Source organism: Homo sapiens, chromosome 1 (assembly GCF_000001405.40).
Source record: "Homo sapiens chromosome 1, GRCh38.p14 Primary Assembly".
Taxonomy (NCBI): Eukaryota; Metazoa; Chordata; class Mammalia; order Primates; family Hominidae; genus Homo; species Homo sapiens.
This window is the reverse complement of record NC_000001.11, coordinates 51,398,020-51,425,430: the sequence shown is the minus strand read 5'-3', so window position 1 is coordinate 51,425,430 and position 27,411 is coordinate 51,398,020. Positions and strand designations below refer to the sequence as shown.

Here is a 27,411-nt window from a genome sequence, read left to right as displayed (position 1 = left end):
ATGATTTTATCTTGTCTTTGATAATATTGGAATTGCATCAAAAACTGAGACAGATGGCTTACACCCTACTGCCTGTACATAGAGTCTAGGAAAATGGAAGTGGATTGCATAGACTCAAGGTCCCTCAGCCTAACTGTCCTTGTGAATAACTTGACCATTTCATATTAGATTTATGTATTTATGAACCTTAGGCTTCTGAAAGCCTAGCTTGGGATTTGCTTTCCTTGATGGTTCAAATTCACCGCTCCATGGAATCAGAACTGTGAGCCTTTGGAATACCAGGGAGGTTTATTCTTGGCTTGTTCTTTATAGCTTTGGTACTTGTGGATTCCTCAGGATGTGTAAGCATCTTAAAAATGAAAACCTGAAAGATAGTCTAAAATAGAGGATGAGTAGGATCATTTCATTTCCCTTTTCTGGAGATTACTAAGGTGAAGGTAATAGCTTTTCCTGTCATGACATCCAAGATGAGTGGTGGTTTGGGCAAAATGCTCACACACCTTTTTTTATTTTATTTTATTTTTTTTTGAGACAGAGTCTGACTCTGTTGCCCAGGCTGGAGTGCAGTGGCCTGATAGCTGCTCACTGCAGCTTCCGCCTTCTGAGTTCAAGTGATCCTCCTGCCTCAGCCTCCTCAGTAGCTGGGACTACAGGTGTGCGAGACCACACCCAGCTAATTTTTGTATTTTTAGTAGAGACAGGGTTTACCACATTGGCCAGGCTGGTCTCGAACTCCTCACCTCAAGTGATCCATCCACCTCGGCCTCCCAAAGTGCTGGAATTACAGGTGTGAGCCACCACACCCAGCCTCACACACCTATTTTTGAAATAATGTCTTATATCTGTCTTATCTACCTATATTGGTGGGCTCCTTGAGAAGTTGCATATAAATATTACTTCTTATTGTGGCACAGATCCTTAAAGAGAATTGCTTTTAAATTACTAGTGTTAAAAATAATGCTTGTATTGATTATGTGTCCATCAACTGTAGAAAAATATACATGTTCAAAATTAGGGAGAATATAAGAAATATGGTCAAGTATCCTAAGTGCACACAAAGATATGTTTAGATATTTTTATTTGCCTGAAATGAGAAGAATAGTTATAAAGGTTAAGAATCATTGCAAGACAACAGAATAACATTTGAGCATCTCTGAAACTGTAAACTAGGTCAAGAAAATTACTTGATTTTCAGTCTGATATACAGGACAAGTTTTCAGTCATAATTTTTTTAATAGAAAGTGATATAATTGAACATTTAATTCTTTTTAAGTTTTCTGTTTAGCAATATATGTTATACTACTTGGTTGTGCTAATAAAAGGAATATTGTAAGACCAGAATTTTATTAGATAAACATGAATCAAAAGTTAAATTTAATTGATCTTCTTACTAAGAGGAATTAATGCCTAAAGATCTCCATATTTTTTTTTTAGTTGGGAATGGTCTTCAGGATATGATTAGAGATAACACCATCCTTTCCTCCCCTTCCTCTTCCTCCCCCATAGACCCCAAATTATGAAGAGAAATTTGTAGTCCTCAAGCTTCCTCCATTTTACCCAAACATAGACTGTGTTTGCTGTTTAGAGCTGAGTCCTTTGTAATCTGTTTTGGATTTTCACCAAGTGAGCTTCCTTCCTTTGCTCTCCCATCTTTCTGCCTTGGCTACTTTGAGTCAGCTCACTGGCTTCTTGTAGCCCTGTTTTCCTGCATGCACACTTGATCTGAGCAGACACTGTCAGTGACAGCAGTTAGCAGCAGAGCAGAAAGAATTCAGTACAAATGTGTGCACTGCTGATCTGTGACACTGTAGTGTTTTCTATTTTTGTTATTATCTACTTTCAGAAACCAGGAGCTGAGTTGATACTGACCTTGTGTGGAATGCCTCTGAGGATTTGGGATGGGGGGAGGGTGCTAGATTTTCATGTGACTTATCTCTAACATGCTGCAGCAAGACTGAAAACATTCATCTGCTCACATAAGGAGGAAAGAAAATTTCCAAGATTGAGCTTGCAGAATTTGTTGGGTATTTTCAGAAATTTTTCCCCGTGTTTTTGTATTTCTTGAATTTGCTTAATTTATATAAGGGTTGGAGGTGGGGGATGGTCTTTGCATGATAAATAGGTTGAGGTATGGAAGGATCGGGCTGCAACAATGATTCTCATGGTAAGGGACTGTTTAAAATCACAACATCGCGACCCACATTGCGACCCATCTGACAAACGGTTAGTGAGCTCCTTGGCCATCTCAAATGTTTAAAAGTAACAGTGTACAAATAGCTTTATTTGTATGCTTTCTTCCATAGACATCTTAAGAACATTGTGCCTACGTATCCAAAACAGTTGATTTTTGTCTACATTTAAAATCTCACCTCAAGAAGGTGAGAAATATAAATGAAGCATGCAGTTGTCCCTTAAGTATCTGCTTTGGTATAATTTTCTCACTTTCCTTTATGCTGGAGCTAAATGGAGCCTGAGCTTACATTTTGGGTTATGTCTGAGATGGAAACTGAAATGTAGTCTTGAAGCTCGAAGGAGAAACTTGGCTATACTAATCTGGAGGACTTGTTAAATGCTGTCTTCCCTTCTCCATGTTGCCGCCTTTTACCTTTCCCTGCGACCCCAGAAATGTACTGCTGCAGAATTCTTTGAGCTTTTTCTCTCATTTTGTAGAAAAGAAAGTGAAGGGAGGTGTGTGTGTTTGTGTGTGCGTGTGCACGCATGATTTCAGTACAACTACAAATGGGCAGTTAAATTGTTACATCAAAAGTGACAGCTTTATTTTGCAATTCTGAATCTAAGGTTGCTTGGGATTCGTTCATAGCCACTCAGGCCTGATTAAAGCATATAAGAATTTAGGTAACGATGTTTCAAAGTAAAAGCGGAGCCCAGCATGTTTGATTTGAAGAGCAGAAGAGATAAATGCTGCTGTGGTTCTTTTTTTACTTTATATATACTGTTTGTATATTTGATCAATTGGATTTGATATATGGTCCTAAAATAGCTTTTTTTGAGATGTAATTTTTGATAGAGCAAATTGCCTGTGTATTAATAATCTTTCCCATTTTCTCTGTTGTTTCATTCTAAAATTGATGCACACCAGTGATTTAAGGGGAAATTAACACTTCAGTAAATGTCTTTTTCCTTAGTATTGTTGACTGTTTTTATTAGCCATTTTCATTTAATTTGACAGTGGTACCTAAGGGTTAACCTTACAGAGCTGATGCAACCCCTCCTTTTCTTTACCAGCAATTTTCATTGGACACTATTTCCATAGCAACAGTGACATCAGTGAAACCTGAGTGTTTCATTGATTATTTTTCTCCTCTTCCTTTTTTAATCTATCCTCTTTTCACCACATTTTAGTGAGAAAGCAATTTTTTTTTTACAAATGGAGCTTATATTGATTTTTATTTCATAAATAATTGAAAGAGGGTAGAAAAATCTGCCCTTCATTTAAAAATTGAATGTTTCACTATGTATTTAAAAAGCGATTCAGGATTAGGAGGATGGATAACCATACCAGCTGTAGCTGATGTTCTAAAATATTCTTGCATTGTTTGCTGGTCTTCTAGGGAAAAGAATAATGTGGAACAGGACCTTAAGGAGAAGGAAGATACTATTAAACAGAGGACAAGTGAGGTTCAGGTAAGTGACCATAAAATTTAGTGTTCCACTGCTGATTTAGGACTATTCATTTTAAATTTATATGGTTATTTACTATTTGCTGGATGTAGTATTAGGTCAAGAGAATGCCTAATGTTTATATTATATAAATGTTTATCTTTTCCAAGATGATTGTTCTTGCTTGGAATTCTGGCCTGCAAAGATTATACTGCAATGAGAAAGCAGTATTTTTCAGCATAGATTTCTAGTTTTGAAAGTATTTTTTAAATGGTACTTACCTGCATATTATATCATTAAAGGGGTAAGTTTGCATGACTTACAATGTTAATATTTTTGCACCAGTAAAATTAGAGTGAGATCATCATCTCATCATCATCATCATCATCATCATCAAAAACCAGTATGCTTTTTCATGCATGTGAGGTTTTTGTTAGCTAGGAGACCTAGTATGTTAAAGGACTGTTTCTCATAATACTTGTAGGGTGGGAGATGATACAGAACAATTTAAAGTAGCATTTTATGAGTAGCTTAGTAACCAGCATATCTTAAACTTTGGCATAAAGAGCTTTAGTTCATTTTCATTAGGTGTTGTGTTAAATTGTTTCATTTTACAAAGAGAAAGGATGACAAAAACCTCAGTTTTTGTTTGGGAAATGATAAAAATAAGGGAGTAGCAGTGTTTCTAACGTTAGAAATAGAGAAAACTGGGCAGTGCCTCACTTAGAGCAGTAAGCAATGCATGTGGCCATGTTATTGGGGTACTGTTTCCTTAGTGCTGCACCGGCACATAGAGGAGATTGGATATAGAAGCACTGGTAGCAGTTGCTAGTAAGAACTCTTGGATGGGCATTTCTTAATGTGTTGCTTGTATGTTGGATTTTCCTGCTTTTCCTAATAGTTTTAAGTAGGGAAAAACTCTAAATTGTGTTAGGCCCATTGTTTTGTTTTGATGCAGGACATTCATTAGAGATTGTCTGTCTGGTGGACTGTGCTAGGGTGGGGAGAATGATTTACTGAAGAATTGAGGAAGAAGCCAGAGAGACTTCTTGTTGGAAGTTGATTCTCTGATTGGGTGACTACATTTATTATATTTACTTGAATTTTCCTGAAGGCAGTGCAAGTTAAGAGATCATCATCAATATAATTCTCTCTCTGGCAGTGAGGTTAGGTGGGCATAAGAGGGTAAGTTATCTGAATTACATTATTTTGTGCAGTTTTTGAGCTTCTTAGGAAATGCAAAAGAGCCACACATTCTAAGCAGTTATTACTAAAAATAGTTTAAAATGGAAGATAAAATAATCTACACAAGTTTTCATAATTTGAAGAAATAGGTGTAGCTACTGATACAATTTTGGACAGCTTCTAAATTTAGCCAGTTACTGCTTTAAAGTACATAGGTTCTTGTGATAGACAGTATTTTGTTGAGTATATCTACCTGTTGGTTTTTCCCTGCTGCATTTTTTGAGGATGTGAATTTAAATACCCAGTTTAGAAGAGTGCTGAAATTTACATTGTTTCCTTCAGTTTAAATAGGCTATCCCTGAACATTTGGTGTCTTATAATTATAGAAGTTTTGTTGTCCATCAGAATTTCTCCGTGATTTGCTTGCCCTTCTTACTTAGTGGCAATGGTAAGGTGTATGTCTAACCTTAAGCTTTGCAAAATCCAAAATGTGTGATTGGCACAGGAAGTCGAAATGGTTCAATTTTTCCACATAGAGTGCTCTAAGTATAAGTAAGGCATCTTGGGCCATGGTAAGTAAAGACCAAGTAATAATCAATGAAAAAAATAGTGGATTAATTAAAGATTTGGGTTAGTAGATTCATTATTTATTCATTATACACTACAGTTATCTATGTTACGCATGGTAATGAGGTACTAGACTAAGAATGATGTGGATAGTTGACATCTACCAGTAATTAAAACTCTTATATTAGTGATCATTTTCAATTTTCTGAAGCAAAACTTACCATAGGTGGTAATAAGTATATTTCATTACCTATTTTGAGGTAACTCTGATTTACCCATTGGTACTGAGATGTAGACTGGAAATAATATGGATAATTAAAGTCTGTAAATAACTCCAACTCTCAATACTTACTTTCTAATTTCCCTGGCAAAAGGCAACTCACTGGAGCTATTAATAAATGGCAGAATCAAAGAGAGTGTATTTCACTGCTTCTTTCTGATCTACTTTCTAATGGTGATGCTAATGAGAAATGTCAAAATGAAGACATTGGGGAGGAGAAGTAAGGGAATTTTGACCTATCAGTACCTGCCGCACTTGGCTTTTTGAGTGTTCTTGCTTTTCTCCATATTAATAAAGTCACAGTGATAATATGAGCTCATATCTCAAACACAGAAATCAAACTTTTAAAGCCAAAAGCTTTAATTTTTTTTTTGTTTTGTGTTTATGTAGTCTGTCTAATTCAGTTAGAGTAGAAAGTCTGCTATGTAATTAATTTCTGAATTTTTGTTTCCTGTCTGTATTTCTGTTAATTACTGCCTTGAAAACTTTCTGTTTAGGATTTTTTCTTGAAGATGACTTCACATTTTATTTCATGAGATGATCACTGTTAGCTTGTATGAGATATATACCAGTGGATCAAGTTCTGTGGACAAATTAGGCCCAAAGTGATCCAATTCCAAGGGGGAAATGTTGTGAAAAGCCATTTTATCTAAAATGTCTAAGGTTTGGGTGTGTATTTTTTGTTTTGTTTTTCATAAGGGGAGAAAGTAGGCTCACATTCTTCCTACCTTAAAGAATTGCCTATGTATGATCTTATTAAAAATTTTTTTCTTCTGAGTAGTCAACAGATATTTTAGAAATTCACTCTCATATGCCTGGTTTCTTCAGTTTTGAGTAGAACTTTATAGCAACAATTTGATGTCAAACAAACTTGAATTCAGTTCCTAGCTCTGCCACTTCCTAGGTTTGTGATCTTAAGTAATTTAACCATTCTATACTTTAGTTTCCTCTTCTGTAACATGGGATAATAAAAATAACAAACACTTAAGAGCTGATGTAAGAATAAAATGAGATAATGCAGTAAAGTGCCTCACAGAGTGATTGGCACTTGGTAAGTGTTCAGTAAATGTTCTTACTAGCTGTATTATTCCGCACCCTACAATCATCTCTTTATTATCTTCTCTTCACCTTTAAGCTCTTTCTTCTCTTTCTTCACATAGGCCTCTTGGACATAGGACTCTTCAATTTGAAAATACCCCTTCCTTGGCTATTGCTGCCACTTTAACTACCAACTTATTTTGCTCTACTTTTATTGCTTTGTGTGGCCATTTTCCCCCCCTTCCTATCTTTGTAGCAACCCTGTACAGTCTGCTGCTTGCCCATACCACACTGTGCATTTTCTCCCCAGGGCCAAGAATAATCTTAAGGCCAAATCTGTTCGTCCTTCTTGTATTAGGTACTCCTTTCTTGGGTTGTATTCTCCTGGATATCTTCCTACCTCTCTGAACCTTTGCTTCCATTGACTTTGCCAAGGACAGATGGACAGACAGATTGTGTGTGTGTTTATGTGTGTCCTTTCTTTCCTTCTCCATAACCCCTGTCATCCATATGCTGATAACACCCAAATGTTTATCAAGCTCTCAACTCTCCTGAGTGCCAGTCCCACATCTCCAGTTAACCATTTTGGTGTTTATCATTTGAAAATCCGTGTGTCTAAAATGAATCTTATTGAAAAAACTTGGCTTCTGGTTTGAACTTTCCTATTTTTCTTTCTCACTACTGCCACCTGTATCGCCTAATATCTAAAATCTTAAAGTCATATCAGAAGTACTCACTCCATTCGCTCTTGCCTTTCCTCCTAAACCAATTTAGTATCATGACTCTCAGATGTGGGAATCTTTACTGTTGCTCACTGCCACCATTAATGATGGGAGGGTGTCATACCTCAGGTTATTGGAGACAGAGAAAAAGATGAAATACAAACCCTCCTCTTTTTTGACTGTCTGACTCTGTACTCTGTGCCATATATATTCTCCTTCTTATTCCCACTTTTATAACTTTTGTTGTTATAGTCCAGAATGTTCTCTACTTTCCTGCTTATGTGAATTCCACTCATGCCTTAAAGCCTAGCTCATATCCCACCGCTTGTCTTAAACTTTCCCTTCTCTGTCTCTTGGTCCACACCAGTCTTTCCTGTGTTGGAACTCCCAGAGGAAGGAATACGTATCCACTTATATATGGCATGAACCATATGTTACCTGGTAGTGTTAGCTTGGTGTGATGTGTATAGCTTCCAATATCTTCCTTCCTATATATTGTGAGTTCCTTGGGCTTAGAAATTGTGCCTTGGATCATATTTTTCATTATATTTGGCAATATATTGTTAGATGGAGGTAAATTTAAGGAAGCTGTTCACAGCAGAAGTGAATAAACTTTGGTTTTGTGTATACAATTTAAAATAAGACAATATAACTGGAACCCATAGGTAGAAAAGATTGAGAGCATAGTAGTTATCATGAAAAGTCAGACTTCTTGATATTGTTCATATTACCCTCATGTAAAAGAAGCTCCCTATTATTTATGTTTCATCATAAGATTCAGTAATTCAGAGTACTTGTCCATGTTTTTTATTTTAATTCACTTAGTTTTTTTCTTAGATGAAGAGGGATGACTTATCTTAGATAGAAATAAAATTAGATACATGAGCTCAGCATTCTTTTTCTGGCCATAATGCTCTTTAGAACATACTGGGAAGCATATGATTGAGAAATAAAGGCAGTCTGTTAATGGGGTTTTCTAACACCCACCCTAGTTTATTAGGCTTCCTTTCTGTTCATTGACTTAAACATCTTGTTCTATAGTTGATACATTTTTAATGTTAAGAATAGTCCTAAAACTTCCATCAGATAAAACAGTGTATCTGATTATTTCTAATTGTAGGTTAGTTTATAGAGGTTTTCTTTTAAAAATAAATAATTATATAATTATGTATAATATATAAAATATATTACTGATATTGATATGAACTATTAACATGATATGTTTGCATCTGTTTCATATAAAATACAGAGTTAAAAGGTTTAACTTTTCAGATAACTTTTAAAGTAACTTCATCAGTTGTACATCTGACTTGAGTTGCTAAAATGAAAGTTTTATTTTTTCATATGTCTAAAATTCTTAGGTATTTGTTTAAATTTTATTTCCACTACCCCATAGCACTTCATGGGGGATAGAGGGATAGCAGATAATTTGCCATTTTCAGTAACTTCAGTGATTTCTAGAAAACAGGACGTTTTCCTTGAAATTTCTTTTTAAGTAAAGCCAAGATTGCCAGCTCAAATATCCTTTAATTTCTAGATGAGTAACCTCGGATATGGCTTGCTTTGATATTTTTCTAAAATAAACCTTGGCACTATATTGCTCTAGTTTTGTTCACTTCATCCTTGCCATGCTTCAGCTGCTGCTATCTTCCTTTCTTTTGCTGTTGATGGCACTAGTAGGCAAGTAGACCATGATCAGGGGAATAAAGCAGAACTAGGAAAGCATCTGCAAATGTCTTCTGTCATTCACTGGAGGGAATGGCATTTGATAGTGCTGAGTCTGTGCACAGACCCAGGAAAGGATGTTCCCAAGGGCCACGTTTAGGAAAGAGAAAATTACCCAAGTTCAGCAGAAGACACTGTTTGTTAGGAGAACCTTCCACTGCTCTAGTTAAGGGCATGGCGGGGGAGGAGAGAGCAGGAAGAGAGAGAGAGGTACATCTGTTGCCTTAATTTAGTCTCAGGATAAGCAATCTGTACCAAAATAAAGTTGCTAAGTATATCTAGATGCTGATATTGATATTGAAATTGCATTGTGATGGTGGTAGCCTTACAAATAATTTTCCAGTGAAATTTGTTATTAGCATGTATATTTGCATGAGTTCATTTTGATTTTGTGCAGTTTAATAATTTTAATTCTGTATACTGGAAAGGAAGGCCTTTTTGTATGTAGTTTAGTGTTGGAATTTTTTTTTTTTTTTTTTTTTTTTTTTTTTTTTTTGAGACGGAGTTTTGCTCTTGTTGCCCAGGCTGGAGTGCAATGGCACGATCTCGACTCACTGCAACCTCTGCCTCCCAAGTTTAAGTGATTCTCCTGCCTCAGCCTCCCAAGTAGCTGGGATTACAGGCATCCGCCACCACGCCTGGCTAATTTTTTATTTTTAGTAGAGACGGGGTTTTTCCATGTTGGCCAGGCTGGTCTCGAACTTCTGACCTCAGGTGATCTTCCAGCCTCAGCCTCCCAAAGTGCTGAGATTACAGGCGTGAGCCACCACGCCTGGCCCAGAATTTTTATAGACCTTTTTTCATATTTAGAAATAGACATAGAGAGACATTAATTATAATGAATTTTAATATGGACATCGTTCCAGCTTGAAGTTTCTCATTAATGTTAGGTATTTCCTCAGTAACCTTTCCTTTAAGTCCTGTAGTTTTGTATTACTATGTGGATTTTTACTGAAGCTAAGAAATGAAAAAGGGCAGTGAGTCTGGGAAATTTGAATGAATGTGTTTGCTCTTTGGGAGAGAAAGGGCAGAAAGAAGTAAATATTATATTGGTTTGTTTATTTGTCTTCCTCTTACATAAGCCTGTCTTTTGAGGTTGTGTTTAAGTGGCTCACTAAAAATATTATTTATGAAAAATAGTTCAGTTTATTAAAGGAAACCAGCATTGATTCTATTATTGGTAGTTCTTACATAAAAATTTAGTCACATCAGAATATTTTTGTATTGGTATTTTTATATTTTATATTGGTAGCAATGTGATACTTAAAAAAAACAGCAAACTTGACATTTTCTGATTATAAAAGTAACATGGGTTCATGGTAAATTTGTAAAATGAAGAAAAGTATGAAAAAGATGTAAAAAGCCTTTCTAGAGAGAGCTATTGTTAACATTTTGCTGTATTTTCTACAAATATGTATAAATTTCTTTATATTAATTTGTGATCATACTGTATATGCCTCTGTATTCAGCTTTTAAAACTTAGTATCATGTCCTAGACATTTTCTTATATTGTGTGACCCTTTTAAGGTAAATTGTGTTTTTTGTCCCTGGATTTACAATAAAAGACATCAAAATTACATCTGGCTTTAAAGATATTATTAGAGACATGAAGTAGATAAAGAATATTTTTCTTTGGGGTATGAGGGAGGGTGGGGAATATGACTAGAGTATTTACTAATGGGGATAGATAACATATTTTTCCTATTCCCACTCTTGAACATTTTTAGTTAAAGGGAAAGAGAAAAAACTTTTTTCCCTCTAGGATTTAAAACATGCTTTTGGGACCAGCATATTGTTATATAAACCTATATAATAATTTTATGAACAAAGTAAGGAATTCAAAATAGATTATATTTTCTTTTTTCTTTTTTTTTTTGAGATGGAGTTTCACTCTTGTTGCCCAGGCTGGAGTGCAGTGGCGCCATCTTGGCTCACTGCTGCAACTTCTGCCTCCTGGGTTCAAGTGATCCTCCTGCCTCAGTCTCCCTAGTAGCGGGAATTACAGGCGGCCACTACCACGCCCAGCTGATTTTTTGTATTTTTAATAGAGATGGGGTTTTACTATGTTGGCCAGGCTGGTCTCGAACTCCTGACCTCAGGTCATCCACCCGTCTCAGCCTCCCAAAGTGCTGGGATTACAGGCATGAGCCACTTTGCCGGCTCAATAGATTGTATTTTCAAACTAACAAAATTACTTTAGATCTGCAGGTAACATTCTTTTAAAATATTTTATAGCTGAACTAGACCAAGCACTGTGGCTCATGTTTGTAATCCCAGCATTTTGGGAGGCCGAGGCGGGCAGATCATTTGAGCCTAGGAGTTTGAGACCACCCTGGGCAACATGGTAAAACCCCATCTCTACAAAAAAATTTAAAAATTAGCCAGGCGTGGTGGCACATGCCTGTAGCCTCAGCTACTTGGGAGGCTGAGGTGGGAAGATTACTTGAGCCCAGGAGGTTGAAGCTACAGTGAGCCGTGATTATACCACTGCATTCTAGCCTGGGTGACAGAGTAAGATCCTGTCTTAAAAAAATAAAGGTATATGCCACAGTGACATGTTAAAGCAGTAATGATTATTTCCAAATAATGAAAGTTTTAAATGTCAGATCAGCCTTGGTCTATAGATTATAAAAATACTGAATCAGTTTAGAAATGTAGGTATTATTTTAAAAAGTTTAAAAAGCATTTGTCATAGGTCAGTTTGGGGTATTAATAAATAGCTATAGTTTAAATACATAGTGAAGTGTTTCACATTATGTAAAAAGAATGTAAGTCTTTTCTTTCTGTCAGTCTCATGCGTGTTTCCCATTAGTTTTTCCCACATACTAAAATCCTATGATAGTTACAGTAATTGCTTAATTAAGCCCCTGGAATGTGCTAGGCATTGTACAAGATTTTGGATAATCAAAGAAAGATGAAGCATGGACACTGTCCTTTAGAAGTTTGTAATTTAGAGGTTAGCTATGATTACAGTGTATTAAGTATGACAGTAGAGGTTAGGAACAAACAGTAGAGTTTGAGCATAGGTGAAGGAAGCCCAAGATGAGTCAGACGAGATTAAATTTGGCTGGATTCTGAAGAATCAATAGTGGGTTTCCAGGTACATATGGTGTGGAAGGACATTGAAGACAGAGGTTATGGCTTGTGGAAAGGCATAGGGTCATTGAAATATGTTGTCTATTGGAGAAGGAATAGGGTCTTCTGAGGCTGGGACACAGGTGAATATGAGAGGAAAAGAAGGTAGAACCCAGAACTGAAGGTTTTAATGTGTCTTGCAGCAAGTTTTACTTAATCCTCTAGATAAGAGGGAACAACACATATTTTAAAAATAACAGTGACTAGAGAAATATCCTTTGCAGTGAGTTATTTTTTAAGCAAGTTGGACATTTGGAATAGGAAGAAACAAAGGGAGAAAACCCAGTTGTATGTCAAGGAAGGAACGATGAAAGCTAAAATAATTTGGTAAACAGCTTAAAGAGAGATTTTAAGGTAGAATCTATAGGACATGTATGAATGGAGAAAATCAAAGATGAATCTGAAGTTACTAGACTGGGTGATACAGAAATTGAAGTCATTTTTCTCTTTTGGCATGGGTTTATTCAGAGCCAATGCCATGTGCATATCTAAAGTCGTATCTCTATATGGTATGGATTAGTTAACAGTGTAGGCAAGGTTAAAAATTTAGACATGAAAAAAATTAGGCATGCTGGTAAATTAATGATAAAGTACTAAAGGAGTTCACCAGTTTGAAACTGTGATCACACAAACTCACGGAATGTTAGCACTGGAAAGTCTTTCATGATCATCTATTGTGTTGGCATTTTTAAAGGAATTTTTAAAATAAATTATAGTAAATAATTGATAAACATTTTTGTCAAAGGAATCAGAAAGAGAACATCTAATTCTTTTTTATTATTATTATACTTTAAGTTCTGGGATACATGTGTGGAACGTACAGGTTTGTTACATAGGTATACATGTGCCATGGTGGTTGGCTGCACCCATCAACCCATCATCTAGGTTTTAAGCTCTGCATGTATTAGGTATTTGTCCTAATGCTCTGCCTCCCCTTGTCCCCCACCTCCCGACAGGCCCCGGTGTGTGATGTTCCCCTCCCTTGTGTCCATGCGTTCTCATTGTTCAGCTCCCACTTATGAGTGAGAACATGTGGTGTTTGGTTTTCTGTTCCTGTGGTAGTTTGCTGAGAATGATGGTTTCCAGCTTCATCCATGTCCCTGCAAAGGACATGAGCTCATTCTTTTTTATGGCTGCATAGTATTCCATGGGATGTATGTGCCACATTTTCTTTATCTAGTCTATCGTTGGTGGGCATTTGCATTGGTTCCAAGTCTTTGCTATTGTGAATAGTGCTGCAATAAACATACGTGTGCATGTGTCTTTATAGTGGAATGATTTATAATCCTTTGGGTATATACCCAGTAATGGGATTGCTGGGTCAAATGGTATTTCTGGTTCTAGATCCTTGAGGAATCGCCAGACTGTCTTCCACAATGGTTGAACTAATTTACACTCCCACTAACAGTGTAAAAGCGTTCCTGTTTCTCCACATCCTCTCCAGCTTCTGTTGTTTCCTGACGGGTTAATGAGAGAACATCTGATTCTTAAGAAACCTAGGCAAAGCAAAACTCTATATAATACAATAAAGAAAAATTCAATTTAGAAGGGGCATAAGCATATTTAACTAAGATTTAAAATGTACTTATTTCCTCATTTAAAATTTCTTCTCCTTCAATATTATAATTTCAAGTCTCTTAAAATAAGGACTGAATTAAAATACAGAAATTGTTTTTCTTCCAGAAATCAAGTGTCCCTGTATCTTAAATTCTCTGTACAGTTCCATTTATCAGTCCTTTGTGCAAGAGTTAGCAATTCATGGCACAAGGGTCACTTTTTGCCTTTCTTTGCAGAGTTGATGATACTCATCAAACATTGTCCGAATTCCTCAAGTATCATTGAGGAATTCAAAGGCTACTGCCTTTGAGTTTCCCTTTTTGTCTGCCTGCTCTGCCTGGGCTTTAAAGGAATTTTTTAAAGAAAGCAACATGATATTTTTAGACTAACCAGTTGGTTAAGAAAATATAAGATAAAAAGCAATTATTGAAAGCATTGTTCAGTGTTCTATTTAATCACAGAAACATCTGCATATATTTGAAAAATAGTGACACATGTGAGACATTTAGTCTGCAGATGGTATGTCACATGGTGGTTAAGAGCTCAGGCTGTGGAGTCAGAACCCACTTTGAATCCATAGCTTACTATTTTTAACTTTGGACACATTACCTACACATCAGTACTTCAGTTTTCTCATCTGTAAAATATGAAATGATATCAGTACCTAACTCGTAGATCTGTCATATAGACTATAAATAAGTTAGTATATTTAAAGAGCCTAGAGCACAACCTAGCACATTTTAAGTAGCATTTAAAGTGTTGGCTATTATCATAATGGTGCTATCTTGTGTAACCTATGCAGTAATTCAGAGACCTTTTACCTGTAAGTTTCTCTTCTGTTCTTAGATTCTTATTCTGGTGAATGACTGTTGGGACCTTTGAATAGATATTATTTTTAGAAATTTGTGTTCAGTTTTACCTCACCCGCTTTGAAATCTTTGCCTACCTCCTGCTGACAGATACTTCGGAGTTATTAATCCCTGAGCCACTGCGCCTGGCTTTTTAAAAATTTCTGTAGTTCTTGTTATTAAGCATGAGGTCTGGTATGTACATGGATGAATAAATAACATTTTCAAAATGGTTCTTTTTTTGTTTTAAGAAATCTTTTCCTACACTGAGATCTGCATTTCTTCTACACATTTTAAAGTTAGACTTTTACATTCAGGTCCATTATTTACCTGGAATTAATTTTTCTTTTTTTTTTTTTTGGAGACAGTGTCTCACTCTGTTGCCCAGTCTGGGCATGCTGTGGCATGATCACAGCTCACTGCAGCCTTGACCTCCTGGGCTCAAGAGATCCTCCCATCTCAGCCTCCCAAGTAACTGGGACCACAGGCACGTACTACCACGTCCAGCTAATTTTTTTTTTTTTGAGATGGAGTTTCACTCTTGTTGCCCAGGCTGGAGTGCAATGCATGATCTCGGCTCGCTGCAACCTCCACCTCCTGGGTTCAAGCAATTCTCCTGCTTTAGCCTCCCGAGTAGCTGGGATTACAGGCATGCGCCACCACGCCCAGCTAAATTTTTTTTTTTTTTTTTGCATTTTTGTTAGAGACAGGGTTTCTCCATGTGGGGTTTTTTTTTGACCAGAGAATCTGAGAGGGGAAAGATTGAGCTTAAAACAGATTTGTGGGGAAATTCCAGGAGTTCTATTTTCAACATGTTAGCAAAGCCCATCACATGTCCAAGGACAGATTTGAGTTAGCAAATTGAATATCTAAATATGGATTCTAGGAAAGATGTCTTCAAGTAAAGATTGTATTTAAAGCTGTTAAGTACCCTAGTCTCATCAACACAGTATACTCAGTAAGACTTTATTCTTTCTTAAGGTAGATTTAAAATTACTAACTTAACCCTCCCCTGCCCGCAAAGAAAATAAATATATTAATTTTCTTGGATTTTAGGATCTTCAAGATGAAGTTCAAAGGGAGAATACTAATCTGCAAAAACTACAGGCCCAGAAACAGCAGGTACAGGAACTCCTTGATGAACTGGATGAGCAGAAAGCCCAGCTGGAGGAGCAACTCAAGGAAGTCAGAAAGAAATGTGCTGAGGAGGCCCAACTGGTAATGTCTGGCTGTTTCCTGCTGCCTGCACCTATACATTAGTTGCTTTTCCTGGCTTAAGATGAAAACATTCTCTACTTTTTGTTATTGATGGTGGTGGTTGGCAATCCAGTCAGCATTTGGGTTCATGGGGGCGATGGAGCAAGGTTCATCCAGAAATTACAGGCCTTCTTTAGAGGAAATAGAAGGGCAGTTAATGAACTGTTTTTCCAAATTTTTGTTGGAAATATGGTGCCTATACCTTCAACTCTCCTCTGTCCCTCCCCCAGTTACCCTTCTTTACGAAAACCATACATCAAAAAACATCATAATTGGCTGGGCACAGTGGCTCACACCTGTAATCCCAACACTTTGGGAGTCTGAGGCGGGGGGAATTGCTGGAGCCCAGGAGTTGGAGACCAGCCTGGGAAACATGGAGAAATCCCATCTCTACAAAAAATATGAAAGCTGGTTGGGTGCAGTGGCTCACGCCTTTAATCCCAGCACTTTGGGAGGCCGAGGCAGGCGGATCACGAAGTCAGGAGATCGAGACCACGGTGAAACCCCGTCTCTACTAAAAATACAAAAAATTAGCCAGGGCGGTGGCGGGTGCCTGTAGTCCCAGCTACTCGGCAGGCTGAGCCAGGAGAATGGTGTGAACCCAGGAGGCGGAGCTTGCAGTGAGCTGAGATCACGCCACTGCACTCCAGCCTGGGCAACAGAGCGAGACTCTGTCTCAAAAAAAAAAAAAAAAAAAATTGAAAGCCAGGCGTGGTGGCCCACATCTGTAATCCCACCTACTCGAGAGGCTGAGGTGAGAGGATCACCTGAGCCTGGGAAAGTTGAGCCTGAAGTCTGAAGTGAGCTGTGATCGTGCCATTGCACTCCAGCCTGGGTGACAGAGTGAGACTGTCTCAAAAAAATAAAACATCAACAACAACAACAACATCAAAAACTCCATAATAGGGCTAGGTATGGCTGGGCATGTTCCTATAGTCCCAGCTACTCAGGAGGATCACTTGAGCCCAGGAGTTTGAATCCAGCCTGGGCAACATAGCAAGACTCTCTCTCTCAAAAATTAAATTAAATAAATTATTTGCTATTGCTGTCAAAAAAAACACCAAAATAGTAAACTAAACAAATAAATGTATTGCATTTTGGAACATTTTAATGACATCTCTTCTTTTAATCCCCATTTCTTCTCATTCACTTTCACATTATAGATCTCTTCTCTGAAAGCTGAATTAACTAGTCAGGAATCGCAGATCTCCACTTACGAAGAAGAATTGGCAAAAGCTAGAGAAGAGCTGAGCCGTCTACAGCAAGAAACAGCAGAATTGGAGGAGAGTGTAGAGTCAGGGAAGGCTCAGTTGGAACCTCTTCAGCAGCACCTACAAGATTCACAACAGGAAATTAGTTCAGTAAGTCTTTGTAAAGCAAGAAATATATTCAAATGGATCCTCTGTGTCCTTTAGTCAGTTATACTTTCCAACTTCTGCTCCTTCAACCTCTTGCCTAGTTTACTGTTCATTTTTCAGTCATTTTATACAATAGGTTTTTTTGTCACCTGTTATATATTGAAACTATCATACATCTTGTATATCTATCTGATGATTATCATTGGAGTAGTGATTAAGAGTGTGGGCTTTGTGGCTAGATGGTCTAGGTTTAAGTACTGGTGTGCCACTTACTAGCTAAATCACCTTAGTATCAGATTCTTCATCTTCAAAATTGGAGGATTAATAAATACCCTACCCCTTAGGGCCACTGTGAGGATTAATGAGGCAAAACCTGTAAGACATTTTAGCATGGTGCTTGGTACATAAATGCTCCATAAGTGTTGCCTGTTTTATAAACAATAACCTAGTTTCTTCTGTTTTGTGATTCTAATTTTGAATTCACATTTGCTAATTTGGAAACTTTTTTCTTAAGGAAATTGTTCCTTCTGTAGATAAATTTGCAGTGTTATAGTTGGTCTTATGTATAGATCCTTTGCTTTATTTCCAGGTTTCCCTACATGAAGACTAATGTTTTAATGAATGATAAGATAGTTAGGGCTCGGCATGGTGGTGGCCCATGCCTGTAATCCCAGCACTTTGGGAGGCTGAGGCAATGGATCACTTGAGGCCGGGAGTTCGAGACCAGCCCTGCCAACATGGCCAAACTCTGTTTCTACTAAAAGGTACAAAAATTAACTGGGCATGGTGGTACCTGCCTGTAATTCCAGCTACTTGGGAGGCTGAGGCACGAGAATCACTTGAGCCTGGGAGGCAGAGGTTGCAGTGAGCTCAGATCACACCACTGCACTCCACCCTGGGCAACAGAGTGAGAATCTGTCTCAAAAAATAAAAACTAAAAAAAAAAGGATAGAAACACAGAGATCATGGAGTTGATTTCTTTCATTATGAATTTGAACAAACTAAAGCCAAGGAAGTTCAAGTAACTTTCTCAAGGTTACATATCCTTGAAAAGAGCTACATCTAAAATCCAGTTCTTCTAAAACCCAGTCCAGTGTGCTCAGTTATTACATATAATGAAGTCCTTCACTTTTGCGCTTCCTTACCCCCTGTTATCTGGCAGCTGAGTACCTACCTACTCATTCGTCATGCAAGATATACCTTAAATTCTTATTTCTTTATGGTATTTTCTGCATCCTGCTTTTGTTGGACTTTGTATTTATGTTACAGCAATAATAAGATTTTTCCCTGCATATTTGCTTATATGTCTGTCTCCCCTAGCAGAGTCATGGTTTTGGTCTGGGAACTTACACATTTTTAAAAATCCGTATCATTTAGCACAGTTCTTGTCCCAGTGTAGGTACTCAATAAACAGGTAACCTGAAAGAGTTGTTGTAGTGAGAATGCTACCAGATGAATGGGTATTCTTTAAAGTATTTTCTTTTTTTGAATCTCTTTAAAAAAAAAATCCATGTATACTAAAATTTCAAGAGAGAAATACTTATTGTCAGAAATTACTGAATCTTTTCTCTAAGTCACGTAGCATTCCCAGAGGATTCTTCTTAAAGGAAGCAAATGTATCCTAGACCAAGTCTACAGGTATAGCCATTTTTATTTTATTTATTTTTTTGAGACAGGGTCTCATTCTGTCACTCGAGTGCAGTGGTGTGATCATGGCTCACTGCAGCCTTGACCTCTGGGCTCAAGTGATCCTCCCATCTCAGCCTTCTGAGTAGCTGGGACTACAGGTGCACTCCATCATGCCCAGCTAATTTTTATATTTCTTGTAGAAATGAGGTTTCACCGTGTTGCTCAGGCTGGTCTTGAACTCCTGGGCTGAAGCAGTCCTCCTGCCTCAGTTTCCCAAAGTGTTGAGATTATAGGCATGAGCTACCACACCTAGCCCGTCAGGAAGTGGAGGAGGGCGTTTTTATGTTACATGTCTTTCTAGTAATAAATTCTGTTCTATATTTCTTCTTTGTGTTGGCAGATGCAAATGAAACTGATGGAAATGAAAGATTTGGAAAATCATAATAGTCAGTTAAATTGGTGCAGTAGCCCACACAGCATTCTTGTAAACGGAGCTACAGATTATTGCAGCCTCAGCACCAGCAGCAGTGAAACAGCCAACCTTAATGAACATGTTGAAGGCCAGAGCAACCTAGAGTCTGAGCCCATACACCAGGAATCTCCAGTGAGTCTAATACTTTCATAACCTTCATAATCAACCTCCTTGTGCAGATCCAAGTTTCACTGACATTATATCTAATATAAATACATGGCCTTGCCTCATCTGAGGACAATTGAGATTTCCTTTTTAGAAGCAGAGAGTCCTAATCCAAACAATTGTACGTTTTAACTAGTATAAAAAGATAACTTTAGCTAATTTTTTTTTTTTTGGAGATGGAGTTTTGCTCTTGTTGCCCAGGCTGGAGTGCAGTGGTGCGATCTTGGCTTACTGCAACCTCCGTCTCCTGGGTTCAAGCAATTCTCCTGCCTCAGCCTCCTGAGTAGCTGGGATTACAGTCACGTGCCACCACACTCAGCTAATTTTTTGTATTTTTAGTAGAGATGGGGTTTCATCATGTTGGCCAGGCTGGTTTCGAACTCCTGACCTCAAGTGACCCATCTGCCTCGGCCTCCCAAAGTGCAGGGATTACAGGCGTGAGCCACCACGCCCAGCCAGCTAATTTATTTTTTGTAGAGCCTGTTTTTAAAATGGTGGTTCTATAGAGTAAAACTTTTTTTTTAAGTACCCTCACCAAAAGCTAAAATTATTTTTATTACGTAGTGTTAAGGACATTCATTTACCAATTATTTGACGAGTACCAACTATGTGCAAGAGTGCTGTATTACATAATATAAGAGCTACAGAGACAAGAGACCTCAGTCTTTCCTTCAAGCAGCCTACAGTGTAGTAGTGTAACACTGTGTTAAAGGGCTGTGCTAAAGGAAGCGCAGAATTTTCAGTTAGGACAGTTTGGAGGGGGTTCATAAAGATTTTGTTGGGGAAAGCTTTGCGAGTTTAGACAAGTGAGAAGTGGTTAAGCAAAGAAGAGGAGGATACATTCCTGCCAGAGAAAACAGTATTAGTATAGGTACAAGGTGGAAGAATACATGCAGCACAGAATCTTGAGAAGTTCTGAAGGATATCTTGTGATGGTGGAGAGGGTATTGGTAAGAGATGAGGCGCTTCTAGTAGGCATCTGCATTACCTCTGGTGATTGTCAAAGTATAAATGTGTATCCCTTTCCCCAAACTTGCTGAACTAGTTTCTGGGATAGAGCCAGATATGTATATTTTAAAAACACACTCTATGGGTGATTGTCATGTGCACCTGGATAAAAATGACCAATTTTAGGTCAGAAAGTGCCAGAAGATGAGAAATTTAGATTCATCTTAAAGCATTGGGGGATTTATCCTACTGCAATGAACAGCCATTGAAGAATTTTAAGCAAGAAGTGACGTGATTAACTTTTAGAAATGTGGAAAACGGATTAGAGAGTGAGACTGTACCCGTAGAAGGGATAATGAGAAGAATAGAAGTTTGAGAGGTATTAAAAGTGAAAAGTTAACAGACTCGATTTTATTTACACAGTGCAGTCATGTATGCATTATAAAATATTCTTTCAAGCGCAAAAGGCAGATTACTAGGTTATCCTGCAAATAGATAAGGGTGGTATAAAGTAGCTATTGCCCTGCTACTTTTTTTTTTTTTTTTGAGACGGAGTCTCGCTCTGTTGCCCAGGCTGGAGTGCAGTGGCGCAATCTCAGCTCACTGCAACCTCTGCCTCCTGGGTTCAAGCTATTCTCCTGCCTCAGCCTCCCGGGTTTAAGCTATTCTCCTGCCTCAGCCTCCCGAGTAGCTGGGACTACAGGCGTGTGCCACCACACCTGGCTAATTTTTTGCATTTTTAGTAGAGACGGGGTTTCACCGTGTTAGCCAGGAAGGTCTCGATCTCCTGACCTTGTGATCTGCCTGCCTCGGCCTCCCAAAGTGCTGGGATTACAGGTGTGAGCCACTGCATCCGGCCTGCCCCTACTACTTCTTAAGTCTTTCACCCACTCGTCTAAATGAAGAAGACAATGGGAAGCCATTGAAGGACTTTTAACCAGAAGGGTCACGATCACATCCACATTTTAGAGCTATTAGTTTGGCTACAATAAGGAGAAGAGATTGGAAATACATGTATTGGAGGCAGGAAAGCAGTTGGAAGGAAGACTGCTATAGTAATTGGAACCAAAGATGATAGTACTATAAGTGATTGATAGTGACAGTGAGGATGGAGAAGAAGGCAAGGATTTGAAAAAGAGGTAAGAGGTAGACTGAGCAAGACTTGGAGTCATATTCTGAGGATTAAAGATGACCTGAAGGTTTCTGACATGAGTGACTTTGATGCTTGATGACACCATTTCCCTAAAAAAGATTATAGAAGGAGAAGTTATTTGATGAATACATTCTGCTTGTCTTTTTTTATTTTTAAATAGTTTTTGGTTATCTTTAGTCAGTTTTCTCTGCCATGTCAAAAAGTATATTGTTAATCTACTTGCATTAATATTTTGTAGGCAAGAAGTAGTCCTGAACTACTGCCTTCTGGTGTGACTGATGAAAATGAGGTGACTACAGCTGTTACTGAAAAAGTTTGTTCTGAACTCGACAATAATAGACATTCAAAAGAGGTAAAAAATGATTTTATATTTACATTGGGGACTTGTAAGGGTGGAAGGACAGGAGGAGGTGAATTATCAGACATTACTTAATGGGTACAATATACATTATTCAGATGATAGATACATCAAAAGCCCCGACTTCACCTTTAGGCAATATAGCCATGTAACAAAATTCCACTTGTGCCCCTTGAATTTATACATATAAAATAAATAAATGTTCTTAATAGCTGGATGTGGTGGCAAGTGCCTGTAGTCCCAGCTACTCAGGAGGTGAAGTAGGTGGATTGCTTGAGCCTGAGTTGGAGGCACTAGGCAACATAGAGGGACCTAATCTCTAAAAATTAAATGATATTTTAAAAAAATGTCCTTATCACTGTTTTCCTCAGATGAATTATACACTATTTTAGGTGAAGGAAAGAGAAAAATATGTTAAGGTGAAGGAAAGAGAAAAATGTGTTAAAGGTGCTTTATGACTAGAGAGATATTTGTTACATTACCATCAGTTGATTTTCCTTTTGTTTTCAAGACCAAGTCTCACTCTGTCACCCAGCCTTGAGTGCAGTAGTGTGATCTTGGCTCACTGCAACCTCCACCTCCCAGGTTCAAGCAATTCTCCTGCCTCAGCCTCCTGAGTAGCTGCACATGCCCAGCTAATTTTTGTGTTTTTGGTAGAGACGGGGTTTCACCATTTTGGCCAGGATGGTCTCTATCTCTTGACCTTGTGATCTGCCCACGTCAGCCTCCCAAAGTGCTGGGATTACAGGTGTGAGCCACCGTGCCTGGCCCATCAGTTGATTTTTCAAAGCATGTGTATGACCTGAATGTGTGTTATTTTATTTTAAAATGTTACCTTTTAAAACTTTGGTTTCTAAAAAATAATTTTAATTTAAAATTATTTTTAGGAAGATCCATTTAATGTAGACTCAAGTTCGCTGACAGGTCCAGTTGCAGATACAAACTTGGATTTTTTCCAGTCTGATCCTTTTGTTGGCAGTAAGTACTCTTTTTTTTATATTATAGATTTACCCAAAAAAAAGACTTTTTAATATATAAACTAAGGATTCAAGGCTTCAGTTTCAATAGCCTACCAACTCAGTCTGTCGCCCAGGCTGGAGTGCAGTGGCACGATCTCGGCTCACTGCAACCTCCGCCTCCTGGGTTCAAGCGATTCTCCTGTCTCAGCCTCTTGAGTAGCTGAGACTACAGGCGCCCACCACCACACCCAGCTAATTTTATGTATGTATGTATGTATGTATGTGTGTATTTATTTATTTATGTAATTAATTTATTTAGAAATGGAGTCTCGCTCTGTCGCCAGGCTGGAGTGCAGTGGCACAATCTCGGCTCACTGCAACTTCTGCCTCCCGGATTCAAGCTAATCTCCTGCCTCAGCCTCCTGAGTAGTTGGGATTGCAGGTGCCTGCCACCACACCCAGCTAACTTTTGTGTTTTTAGTAGAGGCGGGGTTTCACCATGTTGGCCAGGATGGTCTCCATCTCTTGACCTCGTGATCCGCCCACGTTGGCCTCCCAAAGTGCTGGGATTACAGGCGTGAGCCACCGCGTCTGGCCTAATTTTTGTATTTTTAGTAGAGACTGGGTTTCACCATTTTGACCAGGCTGGTCTTGAACTCCTGATGTAAGGTGATCCGCCTGCCTCGGCCTTCTAAAGTGCTGGGATTACAGGTGTGAGCCACTGCGCCTGGCCTGCTTTGTATTTTCCTACTGACTAATGTTGAACATCTTTCTAGATGCTTATTAGCCATTTGTGTATCTTCTTTGGAAAAGTGTTTATTCAATTTTGGTGAAGTCCAGTTATCTATTTTTTCTTCTGTCACTTGTGCTTTTGGTGTCATCTAAGAAACTATTACCTAAGTCGCAAAGATTTAATGCTGTCTTTGTCTAAGAGTTTTATAGTTTTGCTGTTACAGTTAGATCTTTGATCCATTTTGAGTTTATTTTTGTATATGATGTGAGATAGAGGTCGAGCTTCATTCTTTTGCAAGTGGATATCCAGTTGTCCTAACACCATTTGTTGAAAAGACTGTCCTTTCTCCATTTTGTGTTCTTGATACGCTTGTCAAAAATCAAATGACCATAAAGGTAAGGATTTATTTCTGGACTCTTCAATCCTGTAAGAATTTTTTTTTTTTTGCTTCAGTAAAGCTCAGTACCTTTATTTCTGAACTGGTGATGATAATACCCTCCCAGTACTCTTGTGGAGAGTAGAGATTTTGTTAGTAAAATTTTTGCTGTAATGTCTTCCCCTCCATCCGTAACCTCAACTTGTGATCAAGGTAAGTATAGTTGGCTGTATATTTCATAAGGTCAATGACATTCCTTATTTTATCTACTGTGAAGTGAAGTTATTGAAATAAACTTTGCTTTGCTTTTGTTTGAAAGTTACTCTTTAAGTAGTGGTGTCACCACAGTAAATATTGTTATTTGGATTTCTTTGTGTTTATTTTATCACAGGTGATCCTTTCAAGGATGATCCTTTTGGAAAAATCGGTCAGTATCTTATTGAGTTTCATCTTAGCTTTCATTCATTTCTGCTTAATAATAAGCTTATGTTATTTAGGTCTGAAACTGAAGCCCCAGTAAGATGCTCTATGTGCCTGGCATTTTCAGAAAGAGAGTAGTAAATTCTTTTGATTTTGCTTAATGAATTGTTGCTTTACTTTTACTTCTTCTTTTTTTTTTTTTTTTTTTTTTTGGTGTTTTTTGTTTTTGAGACAGGGTCTTATTCTGTCACCCAGGCTGGAATGCAGTGGTGTGATCATGGCTCACTGCAGCCTTGACTTCCTGGGCTCAAGCAATCCTCCTGCCTCAGCCTCCTGAGTACCTAGGTCTACAGGCTCATGCCAGCATACTTGACTGATTTTTTTTTATTTTTTGTAGAGACAGGGTCTCACTGTGTTGCCGAGGTTGGTCTCGAACTCCTGGGCTCAAGCAGTCCTCCTGCCTCAGCCTCCCAAAGTGCTGCGATTACAGACAGGTGTGAGCGACTGTGCCCGATAGCTTTACTTTTTTAAAAATGACATTAGTGTTTAGACTTTGGTGCTTTAAATATTTATTCTGATTCCTCCTTACTAACTAAAGGTTTGGTGAGCATAATGATCTATACTGCTTCAGGGTTTAGAATGTAATTTTGTTTTCCTAAGATTATAGCCCACACGTGTGATTAGAGGCAGAGAATCTTGAAGAATTACTAAAACATCAGGCTTTTTGAGATATTCTTTTTCTGGGAATTTTCATTAGAATAATGCAAATCTTGTTTACCATTTAGTTTTGCATCCCAAACCTGTTCTAAACTATTGGCTGTTAGCTTTGAGCTCAGAGAGAAAAATACATTTAGAAGTTTTTATTGTGTTTTCTTTAGTTACGGTAGCGTAGAATAAGGGGACTTAAAATTGGATCCCTTGAAATTATATGTTAATTTTAAAAATAAGTTTATTAGGTGGAAGGTTCTGTATCTTTTATCAAAATTGCAAAGGAGTCTGTGAAATAAAAAGTACTCAGCTTAGATTCTACAGTATTTCAAACTGTCTTTTTGGATTTTTTTTTTGAGACAGTCTTGCTCTGTTGCCCAGGCTAGAGTACAAGTAGTGCGGTCTTGACTCACTGCAACCTCCGCCTCCCATGCTCAAGCTATTATTCTCATGCCTCAGCCTCCCGAATAGCCAGGATTACGGGCGCGCACCACCACGCCTGGCTAATTTTTGTATTTTTAGTAGAGACAGGGTTTCACTGTGTTAGCCAGGCCGGTCTTAAACTCCTGAGCTCAAGTCATCCGTCTACCTCAACCTCCCAAAGTGCTGGAATTACAGGTGTGAGCCACTGCACCTGGCCCAAACTGTCTTTTTGTTTGTTTGTTTTTGAGACAGGGTCTCACTGTCACCCAGGCTGGAGTGCAGTGGCAGATCTTTGCTCACTGCAGCCTCTGCCTCACAGGTTCAAGTGAGTCTCCCACCTCAGCCTCCCGAGTAGCTGGGACTATAGGTGCGCACCACCATGCCTGGCTAATTTTTGTGTTTTTTAGTAGAGAGGAGGTTTTGACATGTTGGGCAGGCTGGTCTTGAACTCCTGACCTCAAGTGATCTGCCTGTCTCAGCCTCCCAAAGTGGTGGGAATGCAGACGTGAGCCACTGCACCTGGCCCCAGACTGTCTTTTAATTAAGGCACTGATCATACCTTCAAGTGATGGGAAATTTAGTGCAATAATTTTTTTTTGTCTCTTATATTCGTGCCTTATTTTTTTAGATCCATTTGGTGGTGATCCTTTCAAAGGTTCAGATCCATTTGCATCAGACTGTTTCTTCAGGCAATCTACTGATCCTTTTGCCACTTCAAGCACTGACCCTTTCAGTGCAGCCAACAATAGCAGTATTACATCGGTAAGTGGGAGAATTAAAAACTGTTAAGTTAAATGGATAATAAGTGTCCTAAGCAAGTTTCTTGAAATACATAGTGATGAAAGAACCCTCATTTAGATTACTTCTAATGGACCATATAAGAATTTCAGTCTCATCCCAATTCATTTAGTTTTTGGTTCAGACTGGTATTTCATAGTTTGATTACCCACTGGAATTAACTGGAATGACTGAACGGAGTCCAAAAGTGATGTTCATCTTTCAAGAGACTAAATCTTATCCTATTGAGGATACTAAAAATGATTGGAAATTTATAAGCCAATCTTACATAAAACTTTTCTGAAATGTTTGGTATATTATTGAAATAATGAAAATTAAAAGAATTTTAGAAAAATAAAATCGTTTATGTTATTTCATAGACACATCTGGAATGTTAATTCTGCAAAGTACAAATTCTCACTAAATGTCAAGCTCTCTTGAGAATGTACATACCTACAGCAATCACTGTTTAATAACCACATGCCTGATCCAGGTACTGGTGTGTGCTTTACATTCATTGTTTCTAATCTTCACATCAATTTTGCAAAGTAGGTGTTGATATCCCTATTTTAAAAATGAGGACACTGGGACTTAGAAAAATTAACATGTTTAAGGTCCTATAGCTAGTTGCTGTTTTATCTGGAGGCTTTAAAAAAATCTTCATGGCTGGGCGCGGTGGCTCACGCCTGTAATCCCAGCACTTTGGGAGGCTGAGGTGGGCGGATCACGAGGTCAGGAGATCGAGACCATCCTGGCTAACACGGTGAAAACTCGTCTCTACTAAAAATACAAAAAATTAGCCAGGCGCGGTGGTGGGTGCCTATAGTCCCAGCTACTCAGGAGGCTGAGGCAGGAGAATGGCGTGAACCCGGGAGGCGGAGCTTGCAGTGAGCCGAGATCGCGCCACTGCACTCCAGCCTGGGTGACAGAGCGAGACTCCGTCTCAAAAAAAAAAAAAAAAATCTTCATCTTGTGGATATTTAGAAATACTCAAAGG

At 38.2% G+C, this 27,411-nt stretch overlaps 1 protein-coding gene across 8 annotated transcripts in view, besides 1 other annotated feature; it reads left to right on the top strand.

The window, feature by feature from the left end:
* The window catches only part of EPS15 (epidermal growth factor receptor pathway substrate 15), a 165,004-nt gene that overhangs the window by 93,836 nt on the left and 43,757 nt on the right, over positions 1 to 27,411 (top strand). For 4 of the 8 annotated variants that reach the window (NM_001410796.1, NM_001981.3, NM_001410797.1 and 1 more), the window contains 8 exons: positions 3,573 to 3,645; positions 15,735 to 15,896; positions 17,099 to 17,296; positions 19,323 to 19,526; positions 21,899 to 22,012; positions 22,906 to 22,996; positions 24,478 to 24,513; positions 26,266 to 26,399. In NM_001410796.1, the coding sequence (NP_001397725.1) occupies positions 3,573 to 3,645; positions 15,735 to 15,896; positions 17,099 to 17,296; positions 19,323 to 19,526; positions 21,899 to 22,012; positions 22,906 to 22,996; positions 24,478 to 24,513; positions 26,266 to 26,399 (1,012 nt within the window). Of the gene's footprint in view, positions 1 to 3,335; positions 3,646 to 15,734; positions 15,897 to 17,098; positions 17,297 to 19,322; positions 19,527 to 21,898; positions 22,013 to 22,905; positions 22,997 to 24,477; positions 24,514 to 26,265; positions 26,400 to 27,411 lie in introns of those variants that run through there. The other 4 variants (XM_017000618.3, XM_017000617.3, XM_017000616.3 and 1 more) reach the window with 2 other exon arrangements.
* Positions 14,348 to 14,548: a silencer, noted in NCBI's record as "peak220 fragment used in MPRA reporter construct". NCBI's record gives its function as "represses an SCP1 promoter by STARR-seq MPRAs in K562 erythroleukemia cells {active_cell/tissue: K562}" and the evidence as "EXISTENCE:reporter gene assay evidence [ECO:0000049][PMID:32103011]".